Here is a 13,943-nt window from a genome sequence, read left to right as displayed (position 1 = left end):
GCTTGCACGCAAATCGATCCTTCTCCATGGTGACCAGCCATCATGTTTGCCTGGGACTATCTCAGTTTAATACTGAAAGCCCTGTGTAGCAGCCAACCCTTTAGTCCTGGGCAACCTGGGACCACAAGACTCTCACCATTCTAACGGATGCATTGCATATGATTTTGCTACTAATAATACTGTCTGCTGTCTAGTAATATAACCTAGTAATTTGTAATGAGTTTGTCTCAAGATTATAAACTGCTCAAGAACAAGGTTCTTTCTTCATCTCCTCGGAATATCTAATCTGGGCACAAAGAATTACATGTTGACTTCATTTCTTATTTCTTTTTTTTTTTTTTTTTTTTGAGACAGAGCCTTGCTTTGTCACCCAGACTGCAGCACAGTGGCACAATCTCAGCTCACTGCAACCTCTGCCTCCTGGGTTCAATTCATTCTCCTGCCTCAGCCTTCCGAGTAGCTGGGATTACAGGCATGCCCGGCTAATTTTTGTATTTTTAGCAGAGATGGGGTTTTGCCATGTTGCCCAGGCTGGTCTCGAACTCCTAACCTTGTGATCTGCCCACCTCGGCCTCCCAAAGTGCTGGGATTACAGGCGTGGGCCATGGAACCCGGCCAACTTCCTTTCTTGTAATACCAGGTTTCTGCTATGACACAAGTCAAAAACAGACCCCTAAAAGGTTTTTCCCTCTGGAGACAGGATAGGGCCTTCCCACCAAATGGTACCTTGAGCCTTAATCCTCCAGATTGAAGGTTCAAACCAAGGACTCAGGAAATTTGCCCTGATTGACAGAAGAGCCCTCGCTAGCCAACTCTTCTGAGTTGATCCCTACAGAGTTTGTTCTGGGCCCACCCTAGAACTTCCAATTCAGGGCTGCAGCTCCCTAGTGATTCCGATTCAAGCAGTCCTTGAAAAATAAGAGTAAGGCCAGGCACAGCAGTGCATGCTTGTAATCCCAGCACTTCAAGAAGCCAAGGTGAGAATATCCCTTGAGGCCAGGAGTTCGAAACCAACCGAGGCAACATAGTGAGACCCCGTCTTTATAAAAAAAATTTTTTTTAATTAGCCAGGTCGTGGCTGTAGTCCCAGCTATTCAGGAGGCTGAGGTAGGAGGATCAGTTGAGCCCAGGAGGTGGAGGCTATGGTAAATTGTGATCACGCAACCACACTCCAGCCTGGGCAAAACAGCAAGACCCTGTCTCAGAAGTAAAACAGAAAAAAGAAAAGAAAAATAGAGTAGAAACACTTTCATTCAGCTCTGTTGGGACTAGTTGTCGACTGTCAATCGAAAAAGCCACTTACAGTGAAAATTCATTTTTAAAAAGAAAAAAAGATAAATATTTAACCTTAAACATTTCATTTTACTGTAAAACAAGTAAAAAATTTTTTGATGTAAGTCCAAGGCCTTCCTTTGGATTTGCTCATTGGATTTCTTCGTTGTTTTTCTTGTATAAATCATGCCTGTATATTTCTAGTTATGATTTCTTTAAAATAGAACGAGAATTTAAAGACACTTGTGAAGTATCCTGAGTGTGGAATCCTTCCAGAGCCTTGCAATATTTTTCTCAATCTTTTTACAGTTGTCTCAACCACACCAAATTAAGCAAAAATTTTAAGCAACTTACATTTGTTGGATCTTACCAAAGCATTCAACTTAATTATCTGTGAAGTAATTATGTTTTTTTTGCATAGAATATAAGTGTCATGAAAAAGGGGATCTTTGTTTTCTTGTTCACTGATTTATTCCAAGCATGAAGAACATTGCCTTGCATACTGTAGATGTTCAATTTGTTGAATAAAGTGGTTCCCCTAATAATTAAATTAGTTAGTTACAGCAATGAGTACAAATGGCAGAAAGAGGTTTGGGAGCTAATGTAACTAACTCTTGGTAAGCACAGCAGGTAAATCAGCAGGTGGGTGCATGGGTGCACGAGAGAGTCATTGACTAGCTATGAGCATTCAACTTGCTGTAAGTGTTAGTGTGTGTTCTTGGGAGGGCGTGAAGAGTGTTCATTAATTTGGGGAGTCAATTAAATGGAGGTTTGTTATGAGATATTCCTCTCTCCTGATCAGATAAGAAGCCCAGGTCAAAGGAGGATTGAGGCAAGAGTCAGTGGAATGAGTCAGAGAGTACTTCTCTCATTCCAGTTCAGGAGGTGCCCTGTTTGGGTTTCTAGAGCCAAAGAAGAAAGAACAGGGCAAGGAGATTCTCTGTAAACCCCAAGTTACCAACCTGTCTTCCTGAATTGCCAAGAAGCTCTTCTCCCAAAGAAATCATTAAAGGTCTTTCAACCTGTTCTAAATAGCTAGGGGCTTCTGTGGTTCCCAAAAGGAGTTATACATCCTGCCATCATTTTATTTATTTATTTATTTATTTATTTATTTATTTTGAGACGGAGTTTTGCTCTGTCGCCAGGCTGGAGTGCAGTGGCATGATCTCAGCTCACTGCAACCTCACCTCCCAGGTTCAAGCGATTCTCCTGCCTCAGCCTCCCGAGTAGCTGGGACTACGGTGAGCACCACCATGCCTGGCTAATTTTTGTATTTTTTAGTAGAGACGGGGTTTCACCATGTTGGCCAGGATGCTCTCCATCTCTTGACCTCGTGATCCGCCCGCCTCGGCCTCCCAAAGTGCTGGGATTACAGGCATGATCCACCCCATGCCCAGCCCCTGCCATCATTTTAAGAGAAAAAAACCCACCCATTTCTCGGTGCTTTTTATTCATGTCCTTCTTTGCCAAAAATGCACTTGAATAAGCTCATTTGAGACCACACCTAGAATGATGTCAATGAGTCAGATCGTCTTGCTGCAGACTCTGGGATTACACCAGCAATGTGAAACCTTCTCTATACCTTGGGGGATAATACTTCATAGGGTTGTTGTGAAAACTCAATGAGATAACATATGTGAAGCACTTAGAACAATGTCTATCCACGAGTTGATCAACACATCATCATTGTTGTATTTGCATCTGTGTTCTGCTTCTTCACCAGAACCTCAGGAGTGTCACAAACAAGCCAACAACCATGAAACAGTTTTGTTAATTGAATTTCTGCTTCTGCCACAGAAGACTTAAGTGTTCAAGCCCTGATCCATTGCAAATAATTAGTCTTTGCTTCCTCAGACCACTTTGGTTTGGGGGAAAATCAAGATTAATGATAAGAGGCAAGTAGTGAATGCTGTCACTTTCAGGCAAGTTTGAAAAGCCTGCAGATGGCTGGGGACGGTGGCTCATGCCTGAAATCCCAGCACTTTGGGAGGCCAAGGCGGGTGGATCACTTGAGGCCAGGAGTTCCAGACCAGCCTGGCCAACATGGTGAAACTCCATTTCTACTAAAACAGAAAAATTAGCCAGGCCATAGTAGCACATGCCTGTAATCCCAGCTACTCGGGAGGCTGAGGCATGAGAATCACTTGAACCCCAGAGGTGGAGGTTGCAGTGAGCCGAGATCACGCCACTGCACTCCATCCTGTATGACAGAGTGAGATACTGTAAAAAAAAAAAAAAAAAAAAGTAAAGAAAAGCCTGCAGAAGAGGCAAGGAATGGCAAGAATCACTTCATTTCCCAACAGTGTCATTCTTAGACCAGACCCAGCTCACTAGAAATGTAATGTTACATTCATTGGATAAAACCTTACCTAGCCATTAAAACTGATTGCATAAAGGTCATTATTAATAATGAAAAATGATTGCAATACTAGTTGAAGATTTATGAAACAACCATTCATTTAGGCATGCATTTATTAGTATGAAGTCAGTGGCAAATAAAACAGATGACATCCCTGACCTCATGAAATATTTGTTCTTATAAGACAAATATTCATTAGAGGATATGTGGAAGAAACGCATCTAAATTTTAATAAATTTTTTATTTCTGAGTTATTGGATTACATTTTATTCTTATGTTCTTCTTTAAATTTTTCTGTATTTTTTCAAAAAGGGTGGAGGAAACATATATTGGAGATATTTTGACTGCCTAACGTCTGAATCCCCTTCTAGTAATTGGAGAAAATCTCTTTTTATAAAGCTTGTCTACCCACCCACTACAGAAGCTGAAAACACAAGATATTTTCTTTCCCAGCTACCCTCGCAGTCAGGCGTAGGCATGTGATCCTAGGTTGCTTGGGCCTCGTATAATCATAGTGCAATTTGCTTTAAGACCAAGTGATACAGGCAAGTGGGGATGACAGTGAATTCTTGCCGGTGGTGCAAACCATTGCAATAAGACTGGATCCTGGGCCAGGTGCAGTGGCTCATGCCTGCAATCCCAGCACTTTGGGAGGCCGAGGCAGGTGGATCACCTGAGGTCAGGAATTCGAGACCAGCCTGACCAATATGGTGAAACCCCATCTCTACTAAAAATACAAAAATTAGCTGGGTGTGGTGGCCTGTGCCTATAGTCACAGCTTCTCGGGAGGCTGACAGGAGAATTGCTTGAACCCAGGAGTCGGAGGTTGCAGTGAGCTAGGATCACGTCACTGCACTCCAGCCTGGGTGACAGAGTGAGACTCTGTCTCAAAAAAAAAAAAAAAAAAAAAAACTAGATCCTAGCCAGCAGTTCAACAATGTTGGTGGCATTGTTGAATGCCAAATGGCCACATGATCTGGATTGCCCCGGTTGAAGTGGTCAGTTTTTCTGCCTTAACAAAAGTCTAGTGTGATCATGTGATCCACAGAGCTCCATCATCAATGGCAGAGGGACAGTCAAGCGGGAGCTTAAGCAGGCTGTGATGACACAAGTTGTTCCATGAGCAGCAGCCTCACCCCTGCCATGCCGCCATCCTTCTCTCCACTCAACCTCCAGCCTCATGGGGCGTTCCCTATGACAGCTTAAAGCCAAGCGTGGCCTCAGATGGATCTGCCTAATCCACTTGCTCCAACCAGAATTAAACAACTGGCTCTACATCCTCACTCTTGAATGGCCCTAAAGGCTGCGGGTAAAGGGAACCAATCTCAGAGGATGGAAGCGTGAGTGGAGCACTTTGTTGGCCACTCTTGCTGGACAGTGAGAGAACTTGAGGTGCAAAAGCATTATCAGACTCTTGGGCTTCAGGCTGTGGCTAATGTTTGGATAGCTGGTCATGAACATGGAAGGAACAAGATTGGAGAATTAGCCACAGGGAGGTTTGAGGAGGTATGTGGATCAGCATCTAGAAAAGTTTCCCGAAAGTGTACTCTCTCCCAAAGACCCTACTCCACAGTGGGAAAGGTAATGAATAAACCAGTGGACAAAATTATCAGCCCTGTAGATATCAGTCAACTTCCTTCCCAGCCACCTCACTGACTGTTTGATGGGCTCATATGCAAAGTGGCCACGGAGTAGAAATGGAACCAACTGATGGACTCAAAGACATTGATTTCCCTTCACCACGGCTAATTTGGAGACTTCCAGTGCTGAGGCCCAACTTGCAAGCAGCATGAACCTTATATCCCAGCTTGAAAATATTCAGGGAAGTCCTGCAGTCTGCTTTCTTCCAGCCAACTGGCTGCCTAGTGAAGGATTCCCTCCTTATCTGCTTCACTCTTCCCTCATTTCATCATTTTAGCTGATCTCCTGTAAACCTCTTCCAAGTTATCTTCATCTTCTTGATACCACGACACTCCAGATTGAATACCAGGCATATTTACCTTGGGTCTCACCTCCTCAACCCATTATGTGCCTCCGGCAGCAAAGGCAACAAAACCATGTAAGCATCTTATCCACAGAAACCACATCTCTCTTGGTTAGAAAAGGCAGGGAAATAAATAATCTTGTAAAATTGATGAATCTAACCATAGGAAGAGCAGTGGATGGAGCTTTGAGGATGTTGGTAGGTGATCTAGCTCTACCCTCACAACCTGGGAGACCTTGGAGAAGTCATTTCACCAGCTGAGCTCTCCCTTTCCTGATGAATAAAAATGAATGGGTTAAATCATCGCAAAAGTCCTTTCTGTCATTGCTATTTGTGAAAAGATAAATGCTGTTTTAAGCTAACATTTAAACCAGTGGATCACAATGAGAGTGAGGCTGAATCAGAACCCCCTGGGGTGTGTTTGCAAAATACACCTGCTTCTCCAGGCCTGGGCCTCCTGCCCCTCCAAGGCCTTTCAACATTTGGAGAAAGGGGAAAGAGGCATTTCTGCTTTATGAAAGCAGATTATGATGGTAACTGTGGTAGGCAGAATAATGTCACCCTCCTAATCACCAGAATCTGTGCATATGTTGGGTTACATGGAAACGAGGGCTGCAGATGGAATTAAGTTTGCTAATTAGTCGACTTTAAGAGAAAGAGATTATACTGCATTATTCAGGCAGGGCCAATGTAATCACAAGGATCCTTAAAAGCAGAAGAGAGAGGCAGAGGAGCAGGTCAGAGGATTCAAGAGGAGAAAGGCTGGCTTTGAAGATGGAGAAAGTGCCACAAAGCAAGATGCAGTTTCTCCTCTAGAGCCTCCAGAAAGAACACAGCCCTGCTCACACCTTGATTTTAGCCCAGTGAGGCCCATTTCAGCCTCTGACCTCCAGAACTGTAAGATAACAAATGTGTGTTGTTTCAAGCCACTATATGTGCGGTAATTTTGTCACAGTGGCAATAGGAAACAAGTACAGTGACCTCTAGGAGCAATGTACCTATACACTGACTCTCACATACAACACACACAAACACACACACACAGACACATATGTGCATTCTCACATTCTATGTAGTCACACTCACATACGTGCATATTCCCACCCACCCACGTGCTCACACAGTCACTCACACACACTTACACACATAATTACACATATGCTCAAACAAATCCTTTCCACTGCTCTGGATTTTATGGAATAATACCCACGGACTTTTCAGCATCCCCAAGAAAAGACTGAATTTCTACTAACTGAACTAAGAAACAAGTTGCAATGAAAGAAGCTATGGAATGTGGAGGGGGCTGTGACATCCAAACTTCTGCCAGGCTCACCTCTGCCTCCCTGCGCCAGTCTCAGTCCTGTGACGACTCTATGCAGCCCCTTCCCTCAGCTCATACAGACCTGTCCTTTCCCACGGAAGAACCTCTCCTGCCTCTCACAGCCTTAACCATCTCCCTCAGTTGGTTTGAGAGGAACTCCTGGCTTTCTGTATCACTCTACGCCGCCAACTCTTAGACCAACTCTTAGCTCATGCTCCCTCATCTTTCCTTTTAATCCATGTTTCTTATTTTCTCCAAAATGCATTTGATATGCTTTTCATGATACCAACATCTGATTTTGCTGGGCACGGTGGCCCACTCCTGCAATCCCAGCACTTTGGGAGGTCGATGCAGGCAGATCACTTGAGATAAGGAGTTCGAGACCAGCCTGGCCAACATGGTGAAATCCCACCTCTATTAAAAATTTAAAAATTAGCCGGGTATAGTGATGCATGCCTGTAGTCCCAGCTACTCAGAAGGCTGAGGCAGTAGAATCACCTGAACCTGGGATGCGGAGGTTGCAGTGAGTTGAGATCGCGCCACTGTACATTAGCCAGAGCGAAATAGTGAGACTTCTTCTCAAAAAAAAAAAATCTGATTTTGTTTTCTTTACTTGAACTCCCCCTCAATATTTAGGGCACAGATTTGTACTGCAGTTGATGGGGCTCATTAGGGTTGGTGGCAGAGTGACCTGATGGGAAAAGTTCCACAGGGAGTCAAGAGGTCTGAGGGCCAGTCCTGGCCATCCCATTACTCTGTAGTCACTTAATTACAAAATATATCACCCTTCACAAACTAAGTTAGACTGCTTATCTCTAAATCTCACATGAAATGTTTCCTTATTATTAGTGTATTTGTGTTCAGCAGGAGTGTTCTGTGTCTCCAGGAAATTAAAAGCTCCTTTAGGGCATGAATTAAGCTTCTATTTATTTTTAGTTTGCCCCCACACCTAGTAAAATGTGCCATACCCTGTGGGTGTCCAGTAAATGTGGACTGACTGACTGCTGACCTGAAATTAAGAAGGCATGACTCTTCCTTCTGCTGCTGAGATGTGAATACAAAAAGGAAAATAAGAATCACAATTTTTTTAAAAAGAAGCATGACTTGATTCCAATACTGCAATCCATGAATCTGCTGGGGAAGGAAGACTGCTTTGTCAGTGTGCATTTGCATCTTCTTCATGTCAACAGAGACATTTTGAGAATCTCTGTCCAAATGTATAAAATAGCTTTTATCAAGCTATAAAACAGGAGTTCTCAACCACCGGGCCACAGACCAGTATCAGTCCACGGCCTGTTAGGAAGTGGGCTGCAGAGTAGGAGGGGAGCAGAGGGAGAGCTACAGAAGTTTCATCTGTATTTACAGCCACTCCCCATCATTCGCATTACCACCTGAGCTCCACCTCCTGTCAGATCGGTGGTGGCATTAGATTCTCATAGGAGCACAAATCCTACTGTGAACTGCACATGTGAGGGATCTAGATTGCCACTCCTTATGAAAATCTAATGCCTGATGATCTGTCACTGTCTCCCCTCACCCCCAGGACCATCTAGTTGCAGGAAAATAAGCTCGGGGCTCTCACTGATTCTACATTATGGTGAGTTGTATAATTATTTCATTACATGTTACAATGTAATAATGATAGAAATAAAGTGCACAATAAATGGAATGTGCTGGAATCATCCTGGAACCACTCCCCACCCCCAGTCCATGGAAAAATTATCTTCTATGAAACCAGTGCCTGGTACCAAAAAGGTTCCGGACCGCTGCTATAAAATAATTATTAGTATGATCATGTCATGCTAATATTTATTAACAGAAGGTGTTTCCTATGAAAACTACAAGGCTTCCATATTTTATTTAGAAGGCAAGAGTAGGGGCAGAATTGAGTCCTCCCTAAAATTCATATGTGTAGGTCCTAACCCCGAGTACCTCCAAAGGTAACTGGACTTGGACATAGAGTCTTAAACAATCATTAAGTTAAATCATCAGGTCATCGGCGGGGGGGCCTAATCCAAAGTTACAGTTGTCATTTTAGGAACAGATTGGAACACACAGGAGGAAGACAGTGTTAAGACACATGAGGAAGACAGCCATCTACAGCCAAACAGAGAAGCCTCAGAAGAAACCAGCCATGCTGACACCTTGAGCTCTGACTTTCGGCCTCCAGAAGCATAAGAAAATGATCTTCTCTTGGTTAAGCTGCCCAGTCTGTGGTACTTTGTGGAGGCTGTCCTAGCAAATTAATACAGCAAGCATATAGACTAAGTTTGTTTATTTTAAATGTTTGGGGGAAAATATATTAATTTTGAAATTACATACTTAATACATAACTATTATGAAAATTTTTTGGAAACAGAAATTTAATGGCATTTAATTTCTCCCCTTGCCATTGATCAATGTCCTTCCAGAACTTTTTATATGTAAATATATAAAAGTTTTGAATTGAGTAATAATATACATATAGTCTATCATCACTAAATATGTTAGTTTTGCCCTTCCATTTTAGTAAATATAAATTTAGTTTTAATGGTGGATAGTTCTCCAGTATATAAATGTAACTTCTGAGTGCGGTGACTCGTGCCTGTAATCGCAGCACTTTGGGAGGCCAAGGTGGGTGGATCACCTGAGGTCAGGAGTTGGAGACCAGCCTGGCCAATGTAGCGAAACCCCGTTTCTACTAAAAATACAAAAATTAGCCGGGTGTCGTGGCCCATGCCTGTAATCCCAGCTACTTGGGAGGCTGAGGCAGGAGAATCTCTTGAACCCAGGAGGCAGAGGTTGCAGTGAGCTGAGATCATGCCATTGCACTCCAGCCTGGGTGACAGAGCGAGACTCCATCTCATAAATAAATAAATGTAACTAGGGCGGGTGCGGTGGCCCAGGCCTGTAATCCCAGCACTTTGGGAGGCTGAGGGGCGGATCACGAGGTCAGGAGATCGAGACCATCCTGGCTAACACAGTGAAACCCCGTCTCTACTGAAAATACAAAGAAAAAAAAATTAGCCGGGCATGGTGGCGGGTGCCTGTAGTCCCAGCTACTTGGGAGACTGAGGCAGGAGAATGGCGTGAACCTGGGAGGAGGAGCTTGCAGTGAGCCAAGATCGCGCCACTGCACTCTAGCCTGGGTGACCAAGTGAGATTCCATCTCAAATAAATAAATAGATAGATAGATAGATAGATAGATAGATAGATAGATAGATAAATGTAACTAATTCACTTAATCGGTGCTCTATTGCTCAACAGCTAGATTTTTCTTCCTGTTTCTTTACTGATAATGCAAACTGTTTATCCATCTTTGCACATTTTCCCAATATTTTTTTCAGAATAAATACCTAGGAGGTTGCTGTATCAAAAAAGAATGCTGTTTCCAGATTTTTGATACCGTAAGGGATGACTTGTTTTTTGATACCCTTAAGGGTGCAGTGCTGCAATCATAGTTCACTGTAGCCTTGAACTCCTGGACTCAAACAGTCCCCCTGCCTTAGCCTCCCTCTTGTCTCAGCCTCCAAAGTAGCTGGGACTACAGGCATGTGCCACCATGTTCAGTGAGTTGTTTTTTTTTAATTTTAGAGATGGGGTCTTGCTATGTTTCCCAAGCTGGTCTTGAACTCCCGGCTTCAAGAGGTCCCCCCTACCTCAGACTTCCAAAGTGCTGTGATTACAGGCATGAACTACCATACTCGGCCATAAGATGTCATTTCTAAATCTATTCTTAGAGGTCATAAACTTAAAAGTGATTTGAAGACCCAAAATTCTTAGAGCATGATAGAAACGATCGGCCATTGGTTTCTTGGATCCCACATAGATCAGTGAATCTTACATGGCCCATTATGAACCAGGGCAATGCCTCTTCCAAATGATGTGTCTCCCCAAAATCTGTGCTTCTGGCATTTTTTGGATCTGGAAAGAGTGGAAGTGGGTCAGCCTAAGTCAGTTACCACTATTAAAAAAAAAAAAAAAAAAACGCTAGGGCCGGGCATGGTGGCTCATGCCTGTAATACCAGCACTTTGGGAGGCCGAGGCCAACAGATCACTTGAGGTCAGGAATTTGAGATCAGCCTGGCCAACATGGCGAAACCCCCATCTGTACTAAACATACAAAAAAAATTAGCCGGGCGTGGTGACACGTGCCTGTAATTCTAGCTACTCAGGAAGCTGAGGCACGAGAATCACTTGCACCTGGGAGGCAGAGGTTGCAGTGAGCTGGGATTGCATCACTGCACTCCAGCCTGGGCAACAGAGAAAGACTCTGTCTCAAAAAAAAAAAAAAAAAAGTAAAACACTAAACACACACATTCACTCATGCACATCCACCCCCCAGCTTAGCATTTTACACGAAGGCCAGCATATAATGCCTGCACCCCCTTCTTCAACAGAGATAAGAAAAGCAACCCTTTGTCTCTATCTAGTGGACTCTCTTTCTCTTTTTTTTTTTTTTTCTTGAGACAGAGTTGCACTCTTGTTGCCCAGGCTGGAGTGCAATGGCGCAATCTCAGCTCACTGCAACCTCTGCCTCCCAGGTTCAAGCGATTCTCCTGCCTCTGCCTCCTGAGGAGCAGGGATTACAGGCACCTGCCACCACATCTGGCTAATTTTCTGTATTTTTAGTAGAGACGGGGTTTCACCATGTTGGCCAAGCTGGTCTCGAACTCCTGACCTCAGGTGATCCACCCACCTCAGCCTTGAAAAGTGCTGGGATTACAGGCGTGAGCCACCACACCCAGCCTAGTGGACTCTCTTTCTAGACCAAATATTGGAACCACCTATTTTATTGTTGTCTGAAATAGAATCCATAAATAGCATGACCACCACACATCCATGACAATGTGACTACAATAGAAGACGTCAGTAAGAAGTCAGATGCGTGCCTTGCATGTAAAATCCCTGTGAACAGGACCACTACCCGTGCATGCTGAACCCAGTGTGCTGCTTTGGCAACTCAGATCCCAGGGGCAGCGCTGTCATTGGTGAGGCAATTTTCAGAAATGGTAAGCAACTCTTGGGGAAGTTTCTGCAAAACAGAGGGATAGATTTCAATTTATGTGATAGTTATACAACTGGGAAATTCTGTGTGTATTAAAAGCACAGGAAAATAATGTGTGTTAGATACAAAATAGAGTTCAGGTCTGGCATTAGATTATTATCAACAGGTTTTTCACCTATATACATGACCAACAAGATACTCAAAACTAGCACAGGCTGGGAGAGAAGTTTTCATCATGAGGGAAAACCTCACACCTCACAGGGTGAATAAGCAATCCTGGCTCCCACCTACCATGTGCCAGATGTGTCCCCACTGGCTGTGATTACTAAGAAATGGCCACAGATTTGCACACCCTGGGAGGAGAGCTGCCCTCATTAAGCATCACTGCACAAATATTCTTCTGAAAATAGAATGCCCTGACCCAAACACTATGCTTCAAATGGAGAGTGATGGAAGGAGTGTGACGTAGAACATCTCAGAAATGCCAAGTTGGTTTTATCTCAAGTGCCATTGATCGCTAGAAGCTGACTGAAGTGGTGTGTTGAGAAAGTATCTAGAACTGCCTTTGGACTCAGTGAGGAAGATTGCCATCATCTATCAACCATGCCATCTGTGAGCACAGAGGAGGGAAGTGTGGCCTGCATGCCACCATGTTTGCTGGCCCAGAAGTGTAAACTCTCTTATCCTAGACACCTTTTGCCTATGTCTGCAGCTGAAAATTGAAATCACTTTTTGGCAGGAAAAAAAATGCAATTGACTCATATCAAGCTCCACTTTCCCACATTTGGCAAAACATTTCAGAAGTTAGAGCAAAGAGGAAAACATCGGGTTCAAATATTCAAAACCATACATATTTCACGGAACAAGAGGAACTCTTTGTGATAGAGAAATTAAAAAATAGAACTGCTTAGCAGATATATAAAGATGGTTTCTGTCAGGGAGAGTCTGGAAGAATTCATACACTGGCAGCTCCGAAATTCAAGGACAGAGTAAAGTCTTGCATTGAACCTTTTTCTTCCACAGCCTGCCCCCTGGTGGAGATGTTAATAAGCAGCAGACACACAAGACTGAATTTACCGAAGGAAAGGGGAAAATAAAGCCGCTGCCCCAAGACCTTCTGAAGTAATGGAGAAAAGAAGCTTTGACGATGATGGTGGTAGTGGTGGTGATGATGGTAATGATGATGATGGTGGTGGTGGTGGTGGTGGTAGTGGGGGGTGATGATAGTGGTTAGTACAATTTGGATTTGTGTCCCAACCGAAATCTCATCTTGAATTGTAGTTCCCATAATCCCCATATGTCGTGGGAGGGACCTGGTGGGAGGTAATTGAATCATGGGGGCAGTCACCCCCATGCTGCTGTTCTCGTGATAATGAGTGAATTTTCACGAGATCTGATGGTTTTATAAGGGGCTTTTCCCCCTTTGCTCGGCAATTCTTCCTGCCACCATGTGAAGAAGGATGTGTTTGCTTCCCCTCCACCATGATTGTAAGTTTCCTGAGGCCTCCCCAGCCATGCTGTACTATGAATCGATTAAACCTCTTTCCTTTGTAAATTGCCCAGTCTCGGGTATGTCTTAATTAGCAGCATGAGAATGGACTAATACAGTGGTGGTAGTGGTGGTGGTAGTGGTGGTGGTGGTGGTGGTGGTAGTTGGTGGGTGATAATGGTGGTGGCAGGGATGGTGATGATGATGGTGGTGGTGATGATGGTGGTGGTGGTGGTGATGGTAGTAGTCAGTGATGATGATGGTGGTGGTGGTGATGGTGATGGTGGTGGTGGTGGTGGTGATGGTGATGGTGGTGGTGATGGTGGTGATGGTGGTGGTGGTGATGACAGTGGTGGTGGTGATGGTGATGATGGTGGTGGTGATGGTGGTGGTGGTGGTGGTGGTGATGGTGGTGATGGTGGTGGTGGTGGTGGTGATGATGATGGCGGTGGTGGTGATGGTGGTGATGGTGGTGGTGGTGATGGTGGTGGTGATGGTGGTGGTGATGGTGGTGGTGATGGTGGTGGTGAT

The sequence above is a fragment of the Homo sapiens genome, chromosome 21 (genome assembly GCF_000001405.40).
Source record: "Homo sapiens chromosome 21, GRCh38.p14 Primary Assembly".
Lineage (NCBI taxonomy): Eukaryota > Metazoa > Chordata > Mammalia > Primates > Hominidae > Homo > Homo sapiens.
The sequence above is the reverse complement of the archived record's forward strand: the minus strand, read 5'-3'. Positions refer to the sequence as shown.